This window comes from Homo sapiens, chromosome 7, assembly GCF_000001405.40.
Source record: "Homo sapiens chromosome 7, GRCh38.p14 Primary Assembly".
NCBI lineage: Eukaryota > Metazoa > Chordata > Mammalia > Primates > Hominidae > Homo > Homo sapiens.
This window is the reverse complement of record NC_000007.14, coordinates 56,482,105-56,507,054: the sequence shown is the minus strand read 5'-3', so window position 1 is coordinate 56,507,054 and position 24,950 is coordinate 56,482,105. Positions and strand designations below refer to the sequence as shown.

The following is a 24,950-nucleotide window of genomic DNA, read 5'->3' as shown; positions in this document are numbered from 1 at the left end:
TAGGAACACTTTTACACTGTTGGTGGGACTGTAAACTAGTTCAACCATTGTGGAAGACAGTGTGGCGATTCCTCGAGGATCTAGAACTAGAAATACTATGTGACCCAGCCATCCCATTACTGGGTATATACCCAAAAGATTATGTATCATGCTGCTATAAAGACACATGCACACGTATGTTTATTGCGGCATTATTCACAGTAGCAAAGACTTGGAACCAACCCAAATGTCCAACAATGATAGACTGGATTAAGAAAATGTGGCACATATACACCATGGAATACTATGCAGCCATAAAAAAGATGAGTTCATGTCCTTTGTAGGGACATGGATGAAACTGGAAACCATCATTCTCAGCAAACTATCGCAAGGACAAAAAACCAAACACTGCATGTTCTCACTCATAGGTGGGAATTGAACAATGAGAACACATGGACACAGGAAGGGGAACATCACACACTGGGGCCTGTTGTGGGGTGGGGGGAGTGGGGAGGGATAGCATTAGGAGATATTCCTAATGTTAAATGATGAGTTAATGGATGCATCACACCAACATGGCACATGTATACATATGTAACTAACCTGCACGTTGTGCACATGTACCCTAAAACTTAAAGTATAATAATAAAAAAAAATAGAAAATCTGTTTACTTGTTTGATTGTTATTTATGGCCTTATAATAAAACTTATCAAGCACATTACAATAATAAAAATGTTATCAAATATACCATCTGCTACTCGGTTGTCATATGAATTTTCTATTGTATTTGATAAAATAGTGAATAAATTATCATTTGTTTTCCATTAGAAAATTGTGATACTTAATAAGTGCAAGAGGTTGATTTGGGAGGTGATCCCAGGAAGTACAAAGAGGACAGGGAGAGAAGTGAGACAGAAAAGAGTGAAAAGTCAATGAAGGCTATATCTTCAATCGAATTGATTTTTATTTATATTTTTTTGAGTGTTGAGTCAAAACTCCAAAATTGCCACATGCCTGTGGTATATTCCTTGTATAATTTGTTAACTCAGGGATGAGCTATTACTTCATTCCTGCAGAAGTTGTTCAATTTAGTGTGCATCTGGATCACTTGGAGGGTTTGAAATATCACAGATTACTGGGCCTCTCCTTAATGTCTTGCTCTACAGTTCTTGTCCGTGGCTCAAGAATATTCTTTTATTTTTTTTTTTTTTACAAGTTCTCATGTGTTTCCAATGCTGCTTATTCAGGTAAATGACTTGGAGAACCAATATCTGGGTGCATATTGTGTGTCTTCTCCAGCAAGGATATTGGCCCACAGAAGATGCAGTCAGAGACACAGGTGTCTGAATGGTTTTAAGTAGGCTTTGGTGTTGGTTATCCAAATGTGAAAGTGGGGTCGTGTGTGTTGGAGTTCTCCTGTGGTTTCACCTTAGAAGCCTGAGGACTGTTCCTGCTCCATAGCAATCAGTTCACTATACACTCAGAGCATAAGTGTGCAACCTGGGTTGGAATCTAAACTTTAATGTCTCAGACAATGGATGTCTGCTCTGTGTGAAAATAACTGAATGGGCCGGGTGTGGTGGCTCATGCCTGTAATCCCAGCATTTTGGGAGGCTGAGGCAGGCGGATCACCTGAGTTAAGAAGTTCAAGACCAGCCTGGCCAACATAGTGAAACCTCATTTCTACTAAAAATACAAAAAATTAGCCAGGCGTGGTGGCACGCACCTGTAATCCCAGCTACTGGAGAGGCTGAGGCAGGAGAATCGCTTGAACCTGGGACGTGGAGGCTGCAGTGAGCCAAGATCACACCACTGCATTCCAGCCTGGGCAACAGAGTGAGGCCCTGTCTCAAAAAAAAAAAAAAGGAAAAGAAAAGAAAATAGCTGCATGAACCATTGAGAGTCTAAGAGAAGAGACAATTCAAGGACAGGGCCTTTCAGAAGAGATAATTGACTAGAATTCCTCCTGTTGCTGTGGGGACTTCATGGGGGAGATGTGGAAAAGATGATGGTGGTTGCACTGGAGGTTAGAGGTATGAGGTCAAATCCAGGCCTATGAGAGAGGCTTCATTTTTCTGGACACTGCTTTTCACATCCAGGTGAGCCTCCTTATGGTAATTTCCTTGATTAGCAAAATCTCACCCAGGGGGCTAGATTTGTTTTGCCATTTCAGGGAAAGCTGTGGGTTGTAGCATTGGCTCCTTGGGACCACTTTTTGTTCTCCCCTATTTTACCAACTTTGACATTTTCTTTCAATGGATGCCTTCAGAAATATTTAATCTTTATGCAGAGTGCAGCAGCTTATGCCTGTAATCTCAGCCCTTTGGGAGGCTGAGGTTGGCAGATCACTTGAGGCCAGGAGTTCAAGACCAGCGTGGCCAACATGGCAAAACCCATCTCTATGGAAAAGAAAATGCAAAAATTAGCCTGATGTGGTGGTGCACACCAGTAGTTGCAGCTATTTGGGAAGCTTAGGCACAAGAATCACTTGAACTTGGGAGGCTGAGGTTTCAGTGAGCTGAGATCATGCCACCGCACTTCAGCCTGGGTGACAGAGCAAGAACCTGCCTCAAAAAATTAATTTTTACTGCCTATGTATTGGGTAAAATTATTTAAATAGATTTCTCATCTCACATCCAATCACCTTTCTCAAATTATGAATAGGTTTGAGAACTTTTATTTTTAGGCAATATTTGTTTGTGTTTAAAATAATTTGCCCACTTTTGTTAGTTTTGTTTTGTTGGAGTTTTTATTAAAATAAATTATCTGCTTACAGAATACACTGTAATTCATTATATAGTCTCTAATTAATTTTCACTTTGTTGCTGTTTAAACTTTTAGAAAAAATAACATTGAAATGTATTAATCTTATCCTAAATTACTTTGATGTTTTATTTTATACTTACAGAAGCCTTCCCAAGTAGCACATAAAATTCTCATGCTTAAGTTTATTTTTCTCATGTTATTTGTGTTTGAATCAATCATCTATCAGTTAGTAATATTTTTTAAAATATTATTTAAGAACTGTGTGTATTCTTACACAATGATAATTAATTACTTTCTATTTTTTGGTTTATAGTATTTGCCTATTATTATACTAAAGCTGACAACTTCCCTTTTTAAAATAGTGGTGAAACACACATACTATAAAATTTACCATTGTATCTATTTTAAGTGTACATTTTAGAAGTAATAAATGTATTCACATTACTGTACAATCATCATAACCATCCACCTCCAGAACATTTTTTATCTTGGAAAAGTGTAACTCTGTACCCATTAAACAACAATCTCCATTTTCCCTTCCCCCTGTCCTTGGCAACCACTATTGTACTTTCTGTCTTCATGCATTTACCTATGCCAGGTACCTCATAAAAGCTGAACCACTTAGAATTTGTTGTTTTGTGACTGGTTTATTTTACTTGACATAATGTCCTTAAGGTTAATGCATGTTGTAGCATGTGTTAAATTTTTTGGTGTTTTTTTTTTGTTTTTTTGTTTTTTTGTTTTTTTTGAGACAGACTCTCCCTCTGTCGCCTAGGCTAGAGTGCAGTGGTACAATTTCGGCTCACTTCTTTCTCTGTTTCCCGGGTTCAAGCGGTTCTCCTGCCTCAGATTCCCGAGTAACTGGGACTACAGGCACCCGCCACCACACCTGGCTAATTTTTGTATTTTCAGTAGAGATGGGGTTTCACTAAATTGGCCAGGCTGGTCTTGAACTCCTGACCTCGTGATCTGCCTGCCTCGGCCTCCCAAAGTGCTGGGATTACAGGTATGAGCCACCATGCCCAGCCTATTTTTTTTTAAGATAAACTATATCCCATTCTATGTGTGAGAATGGAAGGTCCTGACCTAAGCAATTTTGGAAAACAGTACTTTAACTGGATACTGTAAAACTCAAGAACTATACAAAAACACTGTATTCTAGTTGAACAATTTGCTTCCCAAAAGGGTATGGACTAGCAATTCTGAGTCTACTTTACACGTTTGTGTATGTCTACAGACACACACACACACACACATACACACACACACACTTGTTCCAATATGCAAGGATAAAGTTGTCTGTCTCCAAAACTGGTACAAAGCCTGGGAAATATGAACCAGATTTGTGTGTGTATCTGAGTAACCAGTGCCATTCACCTCACTGATCCAAACATCCTACAAGTTGCAGATATTGATGGGAGTACTTTCTGGAGTCACCCTTTCAATAGTTTATGTCACCCCAAACAGCTAGAGGAGTTTATTGTGATGGAACGCAGCATAGTCCGAGATATAAAATGTGGTGCAGATGCTGGAATGATGTAAAAAAGCATACCCTCAGGGAAGTCTGGGTACAGAAGACATCTGAAATGAATACAGATAAACAGTATTTTTGTCGTACTCATTTGGGACATCTTCTAAATCCTGGAGAGCTGGTGTTAGGGTTTGATTTGGCCAGCTGTAATTTAAATGATGAGCATGTCAATAAAATGAACTCAGATAGAGTTCCAGATGTGGTATGAATCAAGAAGGACTAAGACTGGACCAAACATCAGTGATGTAGAAACTGGAAATTGAAGGAGCTTGCGAGAGAGAGAACATGGATACAGATGATGAAAGGTAATACCAAGATTTTCTTGAAGATCTTGAAAAAGATGAGGCAATTAGAAAAAATGTCAACATTTACAGAGAGTCAACCATCCCTGTGGAAAGCGATGATGATGAAGAGCACCTCGAATTAGTCTGGCTGAGATGCCTGAAGACCTTCATATTTCCCATGATGCCACTGGTGAAGAAGGTGCATCAATGACGATATAATGAAACGTTGTAGACTGTTTCCACATACGTGGGCTTAAGAAGTTGGACAAGATGACCTTAAGTGTCTCTTCCATCTCTGCCTCCAGATTTCAAGAGGAGAAATTAAGTTTTAAACCTGAATAAACACGATTGTTTTGATTGCTCACTCAAAGCACTGAAAAACATGGAGGGCTTTGAAGTTTTAGATAATAAACGATTGTGGAGAATGTAATTATTATTGTTATTTAGGCTATTTTACATGTGAAATTTTATCACTGTGCTTTTTTATATGAGGCACTATAGTATTTTCACATGGTATAGTACCCTGGATGTAAAAGCTAAAAAATTGTGATTCCTTGGACATTCACTAAATCTTCAAGCAAAAACATTTTTACATTCTTTTTACATTGATTACTTTAGTGAAAGACAATATGAAAAATCATTTTTAATATTGTTAATATTGTTACATACTTTGGTCCACTTTACATCATTTTTATGTTCTTGAGGTAGGGAAATTAGGGTTCAGTTTATCACTGGATATTCGGGAGGCAAGTCAATCTTTTTTATTTCCTTATAAAATTAACATCTTCAAAAGCTGTTAAACAGAGGGTTGTCTTTTAATTTTTATTGCAGTAGAAGGAAATATATTTAAAATATTTATAGATTTGTAGCAAATAGAGACTCATTATTTAAAGATTAAATAACAATTTTTTCTTTTGTTATTTTTGCCAATTTAAGGCAGTAGCTGCATATGTCATATAAATGTCTTCCTACTACGTCAAAAATGTTGCTTTTAAAATGTTTGTTTATAAATTGAGAAGGAAGGAATTTTCTCTCTGTAAGTTTCTATCATTGAACACGCCACCATCAAAAAGAACATTAGAATCCAGCATGAAGATAATGACTAGTAAAAATGAGGTACATACATTATAAAACCATTAATCAGATTTGAATGAGGAATGCTTTCCACATCCTTGAAAGAAAAACTGTGGCTTAGGTTTTAAAGTGTTCTGAGAATGAAGTATTAAGATCTTATTTCTATAGGCAAGATCAGACTTACTAAGTATGCCACAACTAACAGCTGATTCATTCATTCTATGTGTGCCACTAAATAAAGAGATTGAGCAAGTAAAAAAAAAAAAAGTCTCCCCAAGAGTCTCTCCAGAAAAAAAGGACCGCCAAGACCATCTTGCTGTTGGTGAGTTTCTTTGTGGTCACGTACTGGATGGATTTGAGTCTCTCATCCTACTCGATCCCGATATCAACCTATGACCCAGTCATCCTGGGTGTCCAGAGGCGTGTGACCAGTGCCTATGCCACTGTGAACCCTTTGGTGCTAATAAGGTCTGAAAAAAGGATAATTGATATTCTGCAAATGATGAGACAGAAGTATCACATATTTTTTCTTTGAAAATAATTATCTGAAAAAGATATTCTAACACCAGTTAAATTATTGAAGTATCGGCCGGGCGCGGTGGCTCACGCTTGTAATCCCAGCAATTTAGGAGGCCGAGGCGGGAGGATCATGAGGTCAGGAGATCGAGACCACGGTGAAACCCCGTCTCTACTAAAAATACAAAAAAATTATCCGGGTTTGGTGGCGGGCGCCTCTAGTCCCAGCTACTCGGAGAGGCTGAGGCAGGAGAATGACGTGAACCCGGGAGGCGGAGCTTGCAGTGAGTCGAGATCGCGCCACTGCACTCCAGCCTGGGTGACAGAGCGAGACTCCGTCTCAAAAAAAAAAAAAAAAATTATTGAAGTATCAGAAAATTTGATATTTTATTTCATTACATTATATAGAGTTTAACACTGTTATTTTATGTTAATCATTTGAAAACTGATGCTGCCAAAGACTTGAGGGATCCTTTAGTTCATTGTCCACCATGATTTGATAGCCCAATATGTTTGCAGTTTCTTGCATTTCATTTTGATTCCTTGAACTTCATTTTAAATTTTTTTCTTTTTGAAGTGTATTCTTAATAAGCTCATGTTGGTAATAAGATTCCTCATTTTTTTGCCTTTGGAAATCATTTAGTGCATCCTCACTTATTCAAAATATGTTAGTGAAGTATCTAATTATTGGTTGAACAGTAACCTCTCAGCACTCTTACTTATTTCTCTGTTTTCTAGCTGAACACAGGCTGTGGAGACTTTGCTCTCACCTTCATTGATTCTCCCTGCTTTTCTCTCTCATGGTTTTAAATATTTTTTTCTTTTCTTTCATGTTACGCAGTTTGACTTTTATTTCTGTTGAGTATTTTTAGTTGGTGGTCACTTTTAATCACAATACACTTCAGCATTCAAGGGTTCCTATCTGATATTCAGTTTCAGAAATGTATAAATATTTGTTATTAGTGTGATTTGTTATTTGTATGTAAGCTAGTGAAACCAATGTGTTTGATTTCATCTCATTTTATTCTTTGTACATGTACAATCATATTTGTATTGTGATCATTTTGTTTTTCTGTAGTTCTTTTATTTATTCATCTCAGTATTCTAGTTCACTAATCCTGTTGTTATTAACTTGGTTTAATAATTAAACCATACATTGTATATTAAATTTATTTAAGTTTCCGTTGTTCAATTTCTATTTGAGTCTTTGCAAAACATGCCTGTTTTGTGTGTGTGTGTGTGTGTGTGTGTGTGTGTGTGTGTGTTTGAGACAGAATCTCTCTGTCATCCAGGCTTGAGTTCAGTGCTGATCATAGCTCACTGCAACCTCAAATTCCTCGTCTCAAGAGATCCTCTCACCTCCACCTCCCCAGTACCTAACACTACAGGCACACACCACTGTGCCTGGCTTATTTTTTTTATATCTATTTATTGTAGAGACAGCTTTTGCTTTGTTGCCCAAGCTGGTCTCAAACTCCTGGCCTCAAGTGATCTTCTTGCCTTGGCTGCCGCAAAGTGCTTGGGAGTACAGGCATGAGCCACAGCCCCCAGTGCCCGCTTTAGAACTTCATGTGTTTTCAAAATTATTTTGATATTCTCTTTCCCCATTTGTGTTACTGAATTATTTTAAATATGTTTCCAATCTATGAAGTTTATGTGATGTATAATTTCTTCTTTCCCTTTTTTGGGTAGCTTATTTTGTGTGCTTCATAATTTACAATTTAGTTCTTACCTTGCAGTCTCACATTTGGGATGGCCCTGGTTAGCAATTTTCTCTGTTATTCCAAGGGGCAGAGTGGACGATCCTCACAGGTTTAAGGTCTGTGTAATCAGCCCTGCAATCAGAGCTGTCTCTGAAGGCGGCTCTAACTTCTCGCTTTCATGACTGTTAATTTGCCTCCTGATTCACTTCTAGTCGTGGGAAGTTCCCATATTTTTCTATCCGTTCTGCTGGGCAGTTTTAGAATTCTTGTAAAATTTAAAGATTTTTAAGTTACTACATTAAATGACCTTTGAGAATATGTTATTCTGTACTAAAACATCAAATGTACACACGTGTTATGAGTAAAAATGTTTACATAAATATTTTGTGTAGAACAGTGCCACATGAGAAATTTTAATTTTTCTTATTCAATGCCCATGTATTATACACTAACATTATCTGTGAAGTTTAAATATTTTCTTAATACTTGGAAGAATTTTTATGTTTCAGACAAATGTCTGAAGTGATCATGCTCCACTTTAATGCATAACTCCTGTACGTGGGCAGAATTGCTGTTCTTTTATAAAATAAAGAATGTTAGTTAGTAGAGTCAAATATATAAATTCAGGTCTTTTGGTTTCAGTCATGAAGCTTCCTCCTTAGCATTTCTCTAGTGCTGTAAAAGTAATCTCAGTTTGAATGTTCGGTTTAATCTAGATGTCATTTAAAACAATCTTAGGGATAAAAGACTATGCATTGAGTACACTGTACACTGCTTGGGTGATGGGTGCACCAATATCTCAGAAATCACCACTGAAAAACTTATCCCTGTAACCAAACACAACCTCTTCCCCAAAAACCTGTTGAAATAAAAATTCACCTAAAATAAAAAAAAAAAAAATACAACAATCTGAAAGGAAATTTGCATGTGGCTACATGTTACTTGTTACTTTAATTTTTATTGTCATTTTACAGTGTTCAAGAAACATTGCTTATAGGATTTCTGCCTTTGTGAAGTTAAAGACACTAATTTAGATTTAAAACCTTGCAATATTAAATGATTTTCTTGGTATTAGAAAATTTTGTCCATCCTGTGTTTAGTGCTCCAAAATGCTGATCACTTTTCCACTTGATTAACTTTCTAATAAAGTTTCGAACTTTATTTGTTTGTTTATTTATTTATTTATTTATTTATTTATTTATTTATTTATTTTGAGACAAAGTCTAGCTCTGTCACCAGGCTGGAGTGCAGTGGTGCAATCTTGGCTCACTGCAACCTCTGCCTCCCAGGTTCAAGCAATTCTCCTGCCTCAGCCTCCCGAGTATCTAAGACTACAGGCACGCACCACCATGCCCAGCTAATTTTTGTATTTTTAGTAGAGACTGGGTTTCGCTATGTTGGCCAGGATGGTCTCGATCTTCCGACCTCATGATCTGCCTGCCTCGGCCTCCCAAATTGCTGGGATTACAGGCATAAGTCATCGCCCCTGGCTTTTTTTTTTTTTTTTTAGTTTCAAACTTTCTAATAATTACTTAACACTCCTTATTTTTTCTATACCAGACAGTTGATTTCTGTGATCATTTTAAAATCGATTAATATCATTGTAAATGTATCAATTTTTCATTTAATTAATCTCTGTGTACACAGTGAACTCTTTGGTATTAAATCTACATGTATATGTCTTGAAATTATACCTAACACATCATTAATTATATCTAAGAATTAACCACTCTGATTAATCAGATTTTCATCTCTTTCCACCATTTTGCATTTACTGCATCATTTTGTGTGTATTAAAATTTATAATTCCTTTTCTGTAAACATATTTCCAATATATGAAATTTATGTGATGTACAAATATTAATACTTAGGAGGTACCTTCAGTTTGTCATTTAGGCAAAATCAAGTCTAATGACACAGTTTTCCAGTTAACTTTATTCTTTGTCACCTATTTATAATATTTAAATTTAATGAGCCCATAATTATATTCATATATACATATACATGTAAATGATTACTACAGTAAAGCAATTTAACACATGCATGAACTCATGTAGTTTTCTTTTGGTGTCAAAACACCTAAAGTTTACCCTATTCAAAAATTACTAGTATATCATATAAAAATAGTAACTATAACCTTTAAACTGTACGTTAGTACTCCAGTTTCATTTATTTTATGTAACTGAGGTGCATCCTCAGTGTACTGGGCACTTCTCAGCCTTCCTGGAACTGAGCCTGGTGATGTGGTCACTTTTGGGGAGACTGTTGTCAGGGCCCAGCCACACACCCCTGGGCAGCACTGTCCCATCTCAGGATTGGACTTTCTCAGCTCCCATAGGGGATGCTGCCTGCAGCCCAGGAAGGGCAGCCCCCTTGTGCACCCTGAGCTCCCATGGATCCTCAGCAGCCCCTGCCTGGCCCTGCGCTCCCTCTGCTCTCTTGCCCCAGCCCCTCCTGAGTGTCAGCCAGTAAGGAGGCCCTGTCTGTCCTTTCTTCCCTATGCAGGCTCCTGGGCTAAGACCTAGGTCAGATGGGAATGGGGCTGGTCCTTCCCTGAGGCCTGCTCGGGAAAGGGGATGGCCCCTAGCCTGGTCTGGGCCCTCAACTCTCCTCATTGCCTTACAGTGAGACAGAGCTCCCCCTGTCTGTGCCCTGGAGGTGGAGGTAAGAGCCTGACCCTGCCGTATGGGAGCTGCTCCATAGATGGGCAACTTGGTGGGGGGTTTGTGATGTGGAGGCCGTGGCCTGTGGGCATGCGTGCTGGGAGTGGGAGTGACATACTGTCACTAGGAGAGGCCACAGTTACTGCTGAATCTCACCCCAAACTCTAGCCCTGCAGGTTTTTTACCACAGCCACCACCAAGAATCACAGTAGTGTCTCAGGAGTTGCTGCCCGCTGCCCAACAGGGCCCTACCTGGAGGCCAAGACCCAACCAAAGCCCAGGGTGTCTGTGCCCTGGGAACAGTGTGTCCTGTGGTCATGAGGCCAGGCCACCAGTGCCCACTAATCAGGGGCTTGGTTCTGTCCTATTCTGGTTCCTTCCAGTTCAGTCCCATCAGGGCCCCTAACCACGTGACCCAGCATCCAAGAATCACTCCAGGAAGCCTGGCAGCTCAGCTCACTCCATCACTTCTTACCTACAGCAAAAACGTCAGGGCATCAGACACACAGATAAATGCCTATAAATGCTTAACTGGAATAAATCTAGGAACAGCAAGAAGGCACAGCTGTGAGTGAGGGTCCCCCATGACTGCTCTTCAGGGTTTAGGACAGGAGCCCATTTTTGCCTCCTGGTGCTGCCTGCCTCTCAGACAGGGCAGGACACACTTTCCTCACTGAAAGGACAACAGGCCTGGTCCCTAGCCCTCCTGCCCATCCCTGCAAGCATCACCTTGCTGGGAGGAATCTGATGCCTTGGCATGGTCTGCTTCTAAGCCAGGAACAGGAACACCTTCTGGACATCCCATAGGAAGGAATAAATCCAGATCAGAGTTCACAACCTGAGCTCTTGCCCACTCTTCGTGAAAAGGGAGGCCCAGTCCTAGGCAGACTGAACCTCTCCTGAGGAACTGTGGAGCCAAAGACTGGAAACTTCCAGAATCCTTAGGCTCAGATCCCCTTTAGAGTCACCCTAAGGTCTGTCTCACCAGAGCATCTTCTGTCCACAAATGTCTCATTGGGTCTAAAAAGGAATCCTCACAGAGGTCTGGGGCCCAGCACGGTCACTCCTACTGAATGTCGAGAAGACAAAGGCCAAGAACCCAGGGAAACACCAGGTCTGGCCCTTCCACTCCCAGCTAGAGCAGGATGCATAGGCCAGACTGTGTCAGAAGCCCAGCTACCCAGATGGAGGGAAAGTCAACCCCAAAGGGGCGGAAGGGGTCAGTCACACATCCTGGGCAGACAGTGGCATGGGCAACACAGGTGAGCTGTGTGCTGATGACTTTCCTGGCTTTGGAAATGAAGTATCTGCAGAAAAAGACTCCTTCCCTTCCAGAATGTCTGTTTTATGACAGCAGTTTTGACAGTGACTCTTGTGTCTGTTCTGAGGCTTGGCCCTGCTCTATAGAAAATGGAGCAGGCCAAGATGTCCTCTGAACATGCACCAGAATGACCTAGATGTGAGCCACACCTTCACAAGCCATGCCATGTTCAGAGAGCGCTGCAGCATCAAGTAAGGCGTGTGGGGCATGGAGGGTGCCAGGGGAGGTGGGCAATCCGCAGGGATGGGGCATCTGAGGGGCAGTGGGGAGGTCTCAGGACAGGGGTAGGGTCTCAGAGAAGAGGGTGACAGCCCAGCCTACTGCCTAGAGATCTGGCCTTGGGAAGGGTCTGCAGAGGGGCCTGGAAGAGTGAGGTTTTCAGGGCAGTCCAGGGGATTCTGAACACCTCTGCTCCTTCCTTGAAGACAAGCAAATGTTGTGCACCCAGATTGCCACCTTAAACTGACTCCTACAGTGCTTGCTTGATGGGACAAGTGTGCACAGGAGACCCAGTCCAGGGACCCTGCCCAGGAGTCTGGCTCCTCCAGAAGGACCCAGCTCCCCTCCTCTGCACAGGAGGCAGAGGCAGATCCCTGCAGGGCACACAAACCATGCCCTGCCTGAGAGGGGGCATCACACGGCTGGGGCTGGGACTCAGGGCCAGCATCCTGGGCAGACTGGGCCAGGACTCATCTTGGGAGAGCACTCAGGGAGCCCCCTCTTTCAGGGGTCACATTTGATGGATATGAGAACACCCCCATAAGGAGCTGCAGGACCTTATCTGATCCAGCCTCCTGGGGGAGGTCTCATCCCATGCAGAGGGGGCCCCCAGCACCACAGACTGAGGCCCCAGTAGGCCCTGCTCAGGCCACCAGCCCTCCACCGTGAAGGGCCAGGTCCTCCCATGCCTGCTGTTCCCACAAACCCCTACGTCAAGCTCATCACAAGCTCATCCTCAGGCTCTGGTACATCTGCCTTCTGCAGGGCAAGTGCATGCTCATAGCCAGGGCACATGCGGCATTGAAAGTGCACAGAACCCTGTCCCCATGTGCCCAAGGGTGCTGGGGAAGCACACAAGCACACCAAACCTGGCCCGAAGGCAGTGCTCACACTGTCCACAGGACCCTCTGCTTTAACCCAGAGGGACGGCCAAACCAAGCCAGGCCTGGTGGACTGGACAGGGCACCATGAGTCCTCCTGGAAACCGAACCTACCCCTGACACAACTCAGATGAAAGGCAGGAGTGTGGCAAGCTCTTCCCTGACTGGAACTTCCCCCATTAGTGGCCTCCTGTGCAGAGCTGGACCCCAGGGGTATCTAGAAAGGACCCAGCACTGCCTAGTGTGAGGTGCCCATGGCGGAAATAAGGTGAAGTCACAGACCCCTCCCAGGAGACCCCTCCTGGCCTGATGCCCAGCCCCAAACCTAGACCCTCTCCTGAAGCTCTCCTGTTTGTCCTGTGGGAGCTTTCCTAAGATGCACTGTCCCATACCTGGGCTATGGACGATGATGTGATTGTGAAGCACTTTGAGGCCTCCATGGCTGAGCTCAGAAAGATGCACTATGACCACTGACCCCAAGGTGGTCTCTAGCACCAGGTCCCCTCCTGAGTCACCATCTAAGACAGTAAATAGTGGGGAGTGCCCAGGACCCTCCATCCCTGCTCCCCAGGCCTTCCTTCTCCTTCTCCTCTTCCTTCTCTAAGAAGCTTCTAAAAACAGGCCAGCTGGGCCCCAGGGCAGGTGCTGGACTCACCCCAGTAACAGGGCAGGGGATGAGGGCAAGACCCCTCCAAGCCCCCCACCACACCCTTCCCCTCCTGCCCTACAAGAACCCTGGAAGCCCCTGGAGGGCTCGGTCCTGTCTGTGCCAGCCCACACCCATAGCTGCGAGCACCAACAGGGACAGAGTGCAGCAGGGGTCCCCACTCACAAGTTCCCATACCCCAGGCAGGAAACACCCCTCACTGTGGGATCAGCAGGGACCCTCATTCACGAGCGCCCATACCCCAGGTGGCACACACCCCTCACTGTGGGATCAGCAGCCTGTAGGTGTTTCCTCAGTGTCAGACCAGGTGGGTTACTAGAGACCCCAAAACTCCAAGGACCCAGATACCTGGGGCCCAGCCGTACAAAGGTCAGATGGGCTTGGGGGAGAAGTGGACCAAGTTTGCTTTCCATTCAGCTAAACATACAAAGATCCCTAGGAAGGCCCTGGTCCTGGAGAGAGGGTCTCTCGCACCCAGGCCTCTGCGGGCATCCCTCAGCATGGAGGCCCTCCCCAAGGGGGACGGGTTGGCCCTCCCTGGTCCACTAGCCCAGCTCCAGAAGCCCAGAAGCTGACCTGAGGCCAAGTCCCAGCAGCACAAGAAGAATTCCACGGAGCCCAGGGCAACAGGCCACTCTCTGGGGGCCCAGCGGCTCAAGATGTGGCAAGCCTGTTCCTATCTCAGGATAGACCATGGGATTTTTGGCGATTTCTGTGTTGGAATTCTCTCCCAAACTCCCCATGGACCTGGACATCCGGGGCTCATGGTGTCCACAATGCAGCTTTGAGCAGGGATTCCAAACCCCTGTTCTTTCTACATCTTCCCTGGACACCCCCAGGACAATAGGACAGGCCCTGGCCCCGAACCCCCTCAGGGCCCCAACAACCAGGCCTTGCCCAGCCCACTGAAAACCCAGCAGTAGGGCCGTAGACACTCCCCTTCCATGGTGGCACCTGGATCTGACCTTTCTCAGGGGCCACTGAGCAGCACAGCCTTAAAGGAGTCAAGACAGCACCCAGACAACCCCAGACAGCTCCTGAGCTGGGTGAAATCAGTGTCAATGCGGAAGCTGGACTCAGAGGCTGCTGGAGGGGAGGGGGATTGTGGCATCTGCAGAGCCCCAGCCAGCCAGCAGCCTGTCACATGTCCCCATGCCTGCCCACTTGCGTGACAGAGCCTCCCTCACAGGGCAAACATCCTAGACCTACAGATGCCAAGCTCAGCCCAAGCCCTGGGAGAAAAGGGACCCATGGGAGCCATGGGTGCCAGAGAAATAGCCAAGATAACAAAAGAGGGGACTGAGCTTCCTGGGGCACTGGCCAAAACTAGAATTTGGCCCAGGGAAGGGCAAGCCCCTTAAAGCAGTGTGTGGGTACACAGGGCCCCCACAAGGCAGGGCATGCCTGGCAGGGCCAAGCCAGTGATGTTACCAGGCTCAAAGAGCAACCATCCACATCGCTGAGGGCAGGACAGGAGCAAGTGGACCAGCCTCCAACCTCTTCAACTCAAGGAAGCAGCGATGGCTGGACTCCAGCACCCTGTGGCCACCATCCAACCATCAGTGGGGCACAGGCCAGAGACCATTGATCTATCGGGTTGTCCTGGGGCCCTGTTTCCACTGCACAAGAATGACTTCAAATTGCACGATCAAGTAGAAGCTGGTGAAGAATGGGCCCAGGAGCCCGGGTCCCTGGGGCTGCTGTCCTCGGCAGGTCCAAAGGACAGAAATAGTCAGAAAAGGTGTCTATGGTCAGAAAAAGTCAGAAAGGTAGTCTCACTCCTTCGAAGGAGGCTCCAAGGTGGGGACCAGAGCTGCAGCAGGAGGAGGACCTCCTGGCGGCCCTGAAATAGGCTCTGGCAGGATCCCAGAGTCTGCCGTTCTGTGCTTCTCTTTCTCCTTTTCCTTGAGGGCTTGGAATCTTCCCCCATTTGACGGTGAGTCTGCAGCCATGGACAATCAATTTACAAAAGGACTTCTCAGTGGCCATTTCCATAGCCTGCCCTGTGGAAAGCTGATGAGAGCACACTGCTGTCTCTGCACAACAGTGACCATCCGGATCTCGCCAACAGGTAGAGACCATTTCTTAAATCTGTCTCAGAAATGGTATCCCCCAGACCATCAACATAGATGGCGGGCACACTTCTCTTCCAGTGGGTCCAGATGAAGCATGGTTGAAGCCTGCTCTAGAAGCTTATCTGCTATGGGGTCATTGTTTCCGCATATCGATTTTTAATATTCTGATCAGCAAGGGGGTCATCTGGATCTGCAGGCTTCTCATGTCTGTGCAGACACTCCTCTCCTCTCTCACCCTCTCCCTTTACCCATAAAGAGCAAATGTGGGGCTTATTCATTAGGCAGTAGAGTGTGGTCTGGGCCAGTTTAGGCAGCACATCACTGGTGCATGCGGCTTTCCCCAGCGGGACAGCTGGTCATATTCTATTAGGGTTAGAAATCCCTCTCTCCATATCTGCTGTGGCCTTTTAAAGACAGTTCTGCATCATGAACCTGGATGGGCAGTCATACTCCAGGTGTGAGAGGCAGGTCTGACAGACATTTTCTGCAGGCTCAGCACCCTTCAGTCTTGGAATGCATGTGCACCACACAGCCCTAGCCAGACACTGAATGACCTGGCACAGATTTTGCATTTTTTCTCATCGTTTTCTTTGGTCATTTAGATACACAGGTTTTCTCTAGGACATGTGTGACACAGAAGAGAGAACCATCCTCCCAGTTTTGTCTGTTTTAGGTGCTGGAGCCCAGAGGGGTCTCCTCTTCAGAGGGTCAGCAGGCAGTAGTAGCTTTTTAGGTGGGAGAGAGGACCCCCACAATCCCAGCAGCCCCAGCTCCTCTTTCTGGCTCTTTTCTTGAGACCCTGGACAACTGCCTTTGACCACATGTGATTCATCTTTCTTTACTCAAGGCAAACATCGCTCCCAAGGAATCTCCATTCTTGGAGGAAACTCTTGGCTTCCTGGTCTCTCCAAGACCTGGCCTGGAAGAGACAGAGAAACGTGAACGCACCTTGAAATACAGTGTATACTCGATGATTTTCAAAGACCCTCCCTCTACACTCACAGGGCTTAAGGAGACCTTGTGTCTGCTGCTGGGAGATGACAAAACCTTAAGTGAGAAGGTCAAGAACCAGGATCACTAGAAAAAGAAAGGTCCAATCTCTAAACGCATAGACATGTTGGGAAACATCTGTGTGTCTGGATATTTATTGTGTCCAATGATGGATAAAGACTCAAAAACTCACCGGGCATGGTGGCTAATGCCCTTAATCCCAGTACTTTGGGAGGCCAAGGCAGGCAGATCACCTGAGGTCAGGAGTTCAAGACCAGCCTGGCCAACATGGCAAACCCCAACATGGCAAAACCCCATACAAAAATTATTGGGGCATGGTGGTGTGAACCTGTAAACCCAGCTACTTGAGAGGCTGAGGCAAGAGAGTCATTTGAACCCTGCAGGCAGAGGTTGCAGTGAGCCAAGATCACCCCACTGCACTCCAGCCTGGGCAACAGAGTGAGACCCTGTCTCAAAAAACAACAACAACAACAACCACAACAACAAAAAATCAACAAAAAGAAACCTCAAAAGCAAAAAGATTTTGGCAAAGTACTCCTGGCCTGGAAAGGCTCTTTGTTTTACATGCAGATGATTTGTCCTGAAAAGAGGCCTCCTGGTCACAAAGTCTTACTTGGTAAGAGCTCCAAGTACACAGAGCCACAGGCCATCATCCATGGAGCTGCCTCTGCTGACCAGGATGGAAACTCAGGGTAAAGGTGACTGAGGCTAGCACAAAAAGATTAGAGAAAAATAAAGAAAACTAATTTGAAAAAAATTAAAGAAAAATATAGTAACCTGAAGTAATTTTTATTAAAGCCTTGTCTGTGAATAAGTTAAATATGGCTAATCACAGTACTGTACATAATAATCTAAAATTTTAACTATTGGCCAAGCACAGTGGCTCATGCCTATAATCCCAGGGCTTTGGGAGGCCAAGTTGGGAGAACTGCATGAACCTAGGAATTGGAAACTAGCCTGGGCCACAGAGTGAGACCATGCCTCTGCCAAACAATAAAACATTAGCTGCGCATGGTGGCATGGCCTGTAAAACAATAAATAGAAATGAAATTATAACTACCACAAACTAAGCTACAATATTTATGTCATCACAAATTAATAGTCAATTTATTTCAGTCCAAAAGAGATAACCAAGAATTGATTTCAAAATCAATTCAGAGCTTTGCCCTCTCTGTATGGTGGAAGAGCAAGAAACAGACTCCCTCTGGCACCAAACACACAGGAAGCCAGACCAACCACATGAGCCAGATGTCTCCAAACACTAGAAGCATCTGCAAGGAGCACAGAACTGAGGTCTAGAGGCTGAAATCAAGAGAGGGGACTGTGTTGCTGCCCCAGCTTAGAGCCTGCAGAGCCTACTGGCAGTGCAGGGTGGGAGGATATAGGAAGAGCATGGAAGTCCACATGTTAAGGAGACAGGGTTGAGAATGTGAGGAGAGAAAAACATATGGCTGAGTACCAGAAAGTAGGGAGGAGTGGCTGAAGTAGGGGTAAGATTGGCGAGTAGAAGACGGGCGCTCACTGAACCATTGGCAGGTATATGGGTAAATACCAATCAAGATAAATAATATTACCCAGTACAAAAGGGAAAAGGGCACTCTACACCTTTTTTTTTTTTTTTTTTTGAGACGGAGTCTTGCTATGTCACCCAGGCTATGGTGCAGTGGCGCAATCTCGGCTCACTGCAACCTCTGTCTCCTGGGTTCAAGTGATTCTCCTGCCTCAGCCTCCTGAGTAGCTGGGATTACAGGCACGCACCACCATCCCCGGCTAATTTTTGTATTTTTAGTAGAGACAGGGTTTCACTATGTCAGTCAGGCTGGTCACGAACTCCTGACCTTGTGATCCGCCTGCCTTGGCCTCCCAAAGTGCTGGAATTACAGGTGTGAGCCACCATGACTGGCCCACCCTACATTTTTTTCAGAACATTTTCACAAGAAAACTTGTCATTATGAGTTTAATATTGTCCAAAAGTAGAAGAGGGAACATTTCCCAATATATTTTAGGAAGCTAGTATTACTCTCCAATAGAATCAGAGAAAGGAAGTACCAAAAAAAAAAAAAAAAAAAAAAAAACCCTGTAAAATAGTATGCCTCATGAAACTCAATGTGGAAATCCCCAACAAAACTTTATTCAACAGAGCCACATGCTTCACCCATGGGTGAATTTCTTCTAGGAATCATAAAGATTTGGGGAAATCAAAGGAAATCTTTTATTAAGAATTAAAGTTGTAGACTCCTATCTTGAGTTGATTACTTTGAATTTTTGGTCCCAAAATATATACAGAACCAGATCTAATTCTATAATCTTTATCAGATGCAGCCAGATGCCAAAGAGAAATAGATATAACAGCAATATGGGAGTTGCCCTCTCTAAAGCCCAACTGAAAAAACCCAGAGTCAGAAGTTTTACAAATAGAAAAACAACATACTTACTCTGAACCAGGGAAGGAGAGGTAATTCAAACATTTAAATTTAAATTGCTATGAGATTACTGACTTGTTAGAAACTGAAGGAGCGAGCAATGCTTCTGAACTCCACGCTTTTCCATCAGAAAACGGAGATAGACAACCTCGAATTTATCCAGTCATAACATTAATTTCCCTATGAAACAAATCATAAAATAAATATTAAACTCATGACATATTCTCTGACTAAAAGAAGGCAAGATAAACTGAACAGTTAATTATCAGTGTAATAAATTATGTACAAGAATCTTATTGCTGCATTTTTTAACAATGATGAAACTAGAAACAATGTAAATTTCTATCAAAAAATAAACAGTGAAACAAATATTGTATACCCATTCTTTGGAATACATTAGAAATAGAGAGTTAGAATCTCATGCACTTATTTGGAATAATGTAAGTGATACATTGCTTGTGAAACAGCAAAATAAAAACAATATAGTATAATATAATATGTGTTCAAAAACTGTACATGTATTTATCTCTTTTTTTTTTTTTTCTGGAGGCAGGGTCTCACTCTGTCACCCAGATGGGAGTGCAGTGGCGTGATCACAGCTCACTGCAGCCTCAAACTCCTGAACTCAAGGGACCCTCCCCACTCAGCCTCCCAAAGTGTTGGGATTACCGGCCTGAGCCACTGTACCCGGCCAACTTTATATGTATTTATAAATTTATAGAAAACATCCAGAAGAATAAAAACCAAGCTATAATAATTTCTTCTAAGAAGGGAGTGAGTTTGGAAGGAAGAGGAAGACATGGGAGACTTTCACTACATAAATATCTTTATGATCTGACATTCTTAAAATAGCATGCATTTATTTTATAATTAGAAAAAGAGGAAAAATATAAGCATTGTTACCATTTGGTAGGAGGGCAATAGTTTTGTTTTCATCAGTATTTGTATTGCATGTTAGTACATAGCACAAACCTGGAAGAGAAGGCCCAGAGGAATAATTAGAACAAAAAAAATCACACCTCATAAAGAGAGTGGGTGTTATCTTTACATATCAACAAGCGTTCCAGGTGAGTGCTGGTCAGGATCTACCGCTGCTCCAGCTCCCTCAAATCACCTCAAATCAAATCTACGCCCTGACAGGAGGAAGGCAGAGGACAGGGAAGGCCAAGTGCCAGCAAGTGCTCTCCCCAACCAAAGGCCTGTTTCTGCAAGTTTCCTGTCATTAAGAAGAAAATGGAGTCCTAATGAGATGTGGACCCCTTCGGGATGCTGGCAGAGAAACACAAACTGGAATATGCCATAATCATACCTTAGAGGAAGACTTCTAGGTTGAGACTTGAAATTCATGAAAAGCTTGTGTGAAGTAAATAAAGCTACTCTACCTCTCTGAGTGTCAGTTTCCTCACTTATAAAATGGGGATCGCATGCCAACATCAGGAAGTTGATGCCAGAGTTAAATTCACAAAGATATCTAAAAGTGACTGTTAATGCAAGAATCCACTTTATTTAAAAACAAACAGGCCGGGTGCGGTGGCTCACACCTGTAATCCCAGCACTTTAGGAGGCCGAGGTGGGCAGATAATGAGGTCAAGAGATCGAGACCATCCTGGCTAACACGGTGAAACCCCGTCTCTACTAAAAATACAAAAAATTAGCTGGGCGTGGTGGTGGGCGCCTGTAGTCCCAGCTACTCGGGATGCTGAGGCAGGAGGATGGCGTGAACCTGGGAGGCGGAGCTTGCAGTGAGCCGAGATTCCACCACTGCACCCTAGCCTGGGCGACAGAGCGAGACTCTGTCTCAAACAAACAAACAAACAAAAAACAAAACAAAACAAAAAACAGCATCAGACTTCAAAATACACAAAAGAAATAATGTTCATGTGTCCAAAGAGGAGATGATCAGCTTTCTAAGCAGCCTGAGCACGTGAGAATGAGATCTATCCCCAACTAGAACTCTTCACAGCTCCACTGAAGAGGACACATACAAGAAGCTAAGTGCATGGCCAGTGTAGAGTGACTGGTGTAGTGAGGGTGGAATCCCCAAAGACCCTCTGAAATGCAGTTACACAACAGGCTCCCAGGAAACACTGGAACAAACCAGGCAGCTGAGCAGATACTACCAGGAACGGAGTGAGCAGAGGAGGGTCAGAGCCACAAATCTCAGCAGAATACACCAAACTGCAAGGAGCTCCTGGCTGTGTGAACAGCAGCTGTGGCTGCATCAGGACCAATCTTGTGAGGCAGCTGCTGGGGACAGCTGAGATCACGTGTATTTGCAGCCACACACCCAACAGCAGTGCCTCTTGAACACAAATCACAAAATCCTCTCCCTTCACCTTTAAGGTGACGGATGATGGATGCCCTCACGTTACAACATCCCCACCAACACTTGCAGACAAGTGTATTTAGAAACTCCCACCTAACGAGGGAACACTCAGGAGTAGAATGAGAATATTGAGGGATGGGGGAGGAATGCAGGTACTTGACCCCACAGACTCTACTGAAAACAAGGGAAGCGCTGATGTGCTGTGGTCTCCCTATACTTCATCTTGCCACGTCCATAGATGCCGCAAGGTTCTTGTTCCTTTATTTACAAAGGTGCTGATGAGCCCATGTGTAATTGATCCTGAAGGAGTAAATTATTCACAAAGTACAATAACAGTGTCAATATCCATGCCCAGGGTTTTTAGGGGTTTTTATTTATAGTAACCCTCACTCAGGAATCACAAATGAAGCCTGTTGGAATGTGCTATATGAACAAGGTCTTATTTTCATGTAGATTAACACCTTGGTTTTTACGGATTAGACATAAAAGCATAAAAGCTGGCGCCATTCCAGAATCAAAGCAACTGTCCCTGAGGACATATGGAATTTAGGGACATCAATTATTAGGAAGGTACACGAAACTAGAAGTGCTTCCGGAAGTTTCCATTGTCTAGACAGAAAAATTCAACAGATCAGCCCGAGAGAGTAAAGGTACTGCCGTGAGTGCCGGGGGTGATCAGCTTTCTATTCACAGCAAAGATGTTGAAGCCTAAGGAATTTCAAAGACTCCCCAAGTGGTCCACACCTTGAAAGTCGCTCCCACAAAGCTGGAGCACTATCTGTTCTTGAATATCAGGTTGCCATCTGTGTCTTTGAGACACTGCCCAGTCAGGCCTCAGTTGAGATGAGGCCAATGACGTGCCAATGAAAATGCCTAAACCGTCTTTATCTTTAGGTAGCCATTTGGTGGACTTTCCACCAAATGGGTTGGTGAAAAATGGCGCACCAGAGACACACGCCTGGGAAGTGAAATTTTCTCCTCGGATTTTAGCATCTCCTGCGTAAACCAATAATGACCTTCTCTGCCGCCTCAACATCCGTGAAAAAGGTGCTGGTGAGGGTGACATTTTCACGAAGCCACAGGCCATGTCACCCCCTGCGAAGCTTTGAACTTGTGCACTGGCGGGCCAGGCGGCGGATTTCTCCCCATAGTGGCTGCACTGCGCTCTCGCTGGAGAGAAAAGAGGGCAGCGGCACAATGGACAGCGCCTGGACCTCAGGCCAGTTCCCATAGCAGCTTCCCAAAGCAGGCGGCTCCCTGGGCTGGAGGAGGCGCGATGCCCAGAAAGAACCCAGGTGCAGGTGGGAGAGGGAACCCAGCCTAGCAGCGGGAAGTGGGGTGAGGACCACACTCGTCCGAGTTGGACAAGGGCGAGGTGCACTTCGCGGCGTCATGCCCTCCTCACTGCCCAGCCTGGACCTGCCCCTCCTGTCCCCCTCCCGACTCACTTCCCATGGCAAGGAGGTGCCTGCGATCAGTAGCCAGCATCGCTGTGGAAGCGGCGAGGTCCACACTGCCCTGCCCAACCCTCCTGGGCTGCCCTCCTCCTCGCATGTCGCCTGCTGGGATTCCAGTCCAGCTGCCTTGCCACCAACGGGCTGAGAACCGTTAAGAGCTACCGTTTCCAGCGTGCCTGGCCAGGCGCGCGCCGCTTCGCTCCTCCCCCCGAGAACTTCACCAGGCTCCCGAGCCTGGGGCATGCTAGGATTGTAGTCCCGAAGCTCTTGAAAGGGCGGGAGCGGTGAAGAGACTACATACAGCTCCCAGCATGCACAGCAAGGCCGGCACAACCGGACTTCGCCTTCAGGACTGCGCGCCGCCTCCTGTTCATGCTGGCTGGGATTGTAATCCATTCGCCCAGTGATGAAAAAACTGGAAGCTAATCAAAGACGACAACTCCCAGTATGCCAGGCTTAGCTCCCGCCCACCAATCCACACCTCCCTGTGTCCAGAGCAGTTCTGCCATGCCAAGGAGAGCCTGGTTGTTCCCAAACCTCTCCTGCCTGCCAGGCGACAGCGGGACCAGGGTGGCTGATCGTATCTTGTAATTATGTCACTACCTCCCCCTAAGATGCTGGCTTCATGCTTCGTCAGTGCCAGAAGTTTGATTCCTCACGGAGCAGCAGGAGACAGGGAGCTGCTCACAAACCTGTCAAGGTTCCCATAGTAACGCTCCTCCTCCTGGAGCTGGACTCGCCCCGCCTCTTCCCTCGGCTCTGCCCCTTCTCCTCGCCCCGCCCCTTCCCTCGGCACCGTCTCTGCATCGGAACGGTACCTCCTCCTCGCCCCACCCCTGACACGCCCCTTCGGACATGCGCAGTGTAGCCCCTGCGTAGGAATGTGGTTAACGGCCAGATGTCTGACAGTTCTCCGACTTCTGGGCATTCCACGTAGGACGCTTTCTCATGAGTGTCTGAAACCGTCAGTTCACTGCCAGAAATGGAGATACATGTTTCCTGATAAACTGGCACTTGCCTTTTCAAAGCCACCATTTCCTCTATCCTCTGGGCTGTCACAAATCCTCCTCTGCACCTCAGGAGTGCCCCTTGGAGCCACGTTCACCACTTCTCTGCCCCTGACCCAGGCTGGTTCCCAGGCCTTGGGGTCCTAGCGTGGACCTCCTGGAAGTAATTAATGCAGGTGCAGGACCAGAGAGCCCCTTGGTCCCTCCCAACACATGAAGGAAGTTTCTGTAGTGAGGTCACGAACAGTGTCTGTGTTTCTGCTGTAAATAGGGCTTTCTTGGTAACACTTAATTTCCCTTTTTAAATATTCCTTTGGAACCACGTTTAGTAATTTGCTGGTGGAACTTAACAGTGATAATTCTTTGAATCCATTTTTCTTTTTCGTTTTTTGAGATGGAGTCTCTCTCTGTAGCCCAGGTTGTAGTGCGGTGACTGAATCCAGGCTCACTGCAACCTCCGCCTCCCGTGTTCAAGAGATTCTCCTGCCTCACCCTTCCCAGTAGCTGAAATTACAGGCACCTGCCACCACACCTGGCTAATTTTTGTATTTTTAGTACAGATGGGGTTTTGCCATTTTTGCCAGTCTGGTCTCGAACTCCTGACCTCAAGTGATCCACCCACCTCGGCCTCCCAAAGTGCTGGGATTACAGGCGTGAGCTACCGCGCCAGGCCTGAATCCATGTTAACATTTAGTTTTCCAGATTAACTCGAAGTACCCCACGACTAAACGCTAATGAAACTAGAGGAGGCACAGCTTCAGCTCCGTGCAGGATGGATGCACAAGAGCAGAATCTCCATGGGACGCCTTTCTGGAGCATCAGTATTACTGCAGGATTTGGAAGAAACAAATTCAAATAATTTCCAAAGTAAGACACTGGAAATTTAAGAGGAAGCTGGAAACTCATCTGCCTTTAATACTTTTTTTTCTCCAAGAAAAAAAAAGAAACTCTAAGGAGAACCTATTTTTCACTCTTCTAAGTAGTTAAAATTAGAAATCACAGCAAGTCAATAGAAAGCTCTGCCTTGCCAGTCTCCTAAATCACAA

At 44.9% G+C, this 24,950-nt stretch overlaps 3 long non-coding RNA genes and 3 pseudogenes across 5 annotated transcripts, besides 1 other annotated feature; 3 read left to right on the top strand and 3 right to left on the bottom strand.

The window, feature by feature from the left end:
• Positions 3,494 to 3,712: a silencer, noted in NCBI's record as "fragment chr7:56571036-56571254 (GRCh37/hg19 assembly coordinates)". NCBI's record gives its function as "represses an EF-1alpha promoter that drives an FKBP-Casp9 reporter gene in an ReSE screen in K562 erythroleukemia cells {active_cell/tissue: K562}" and the evidence as "EXISTENCE:reporter gene assay evidence [ECO:0000049][PMID:32094911]".
• Positions 4,018 to 4,969, top strand: NMD3P2 (NMD3 ribosome export adaptor pseudogene 2; annotated as a pseudogene).
• On the top strand, positions 5,912 to 6,170 carry VN1R24P (vomeronasal 1 receptor 24 pseudogene; annotated as a pseudogene).
• DKFZp434L192 (uncharacterized protein) lies at positions 9,771 to 10,832 on the bottom strand. Its single transcript, NR_026929.1, has one exon. It is a non-coding gene; the product is annotated as an uncharacterized protein DKFZp434L192 (long non-coding RNA).
• RBM22P3 (RNA binding motif protein 22 pseudogene 3) lies at positions 15,418 to 16,448 on the bottom strand (annotated as a pseudogene).
• On the bottom strand, positions 17,134 to 23,932 carry LOC124901640 (uncharacterized). 3 transcript variants are annotated; one of them, XR_007060332.1, is made up of 4 exons: positions 22,889 to 23,050; positions 20,018 to 20,086; positions 19,127 to 19,294; positions 17,134 to 17,399 (listed from the first exon to the last, which is right to left on the bottom strand). It is a non-coding gene; the product is annotated as an uncharacterized LOC124901640 (long non-coding RNA). The 3 variants fall into 3 exon arrangements; XR_007060333.1 differs by having other exon boundaries at positions 19,190 to 19,294; XR_007060331.1 differs by lacking the exons at positions 17,134 to 17,399; positions 22,889 to 23,050 and adding an exon at positions 23,590 to 23,932 and having other exon boundaries at positions 18,551 to 19,294.
• On the top strand, positions 23,736 to 24,950 carry LOC100240728 (uncharacterized). Its single transcript, NR_108095.1, has 2 exons — positions 23,736 to 24,080; positions 24,599 to 24,950. It is a non-coding gene; the product is annotated as an uncharacterized LOC100240728 (long non-coding RNA).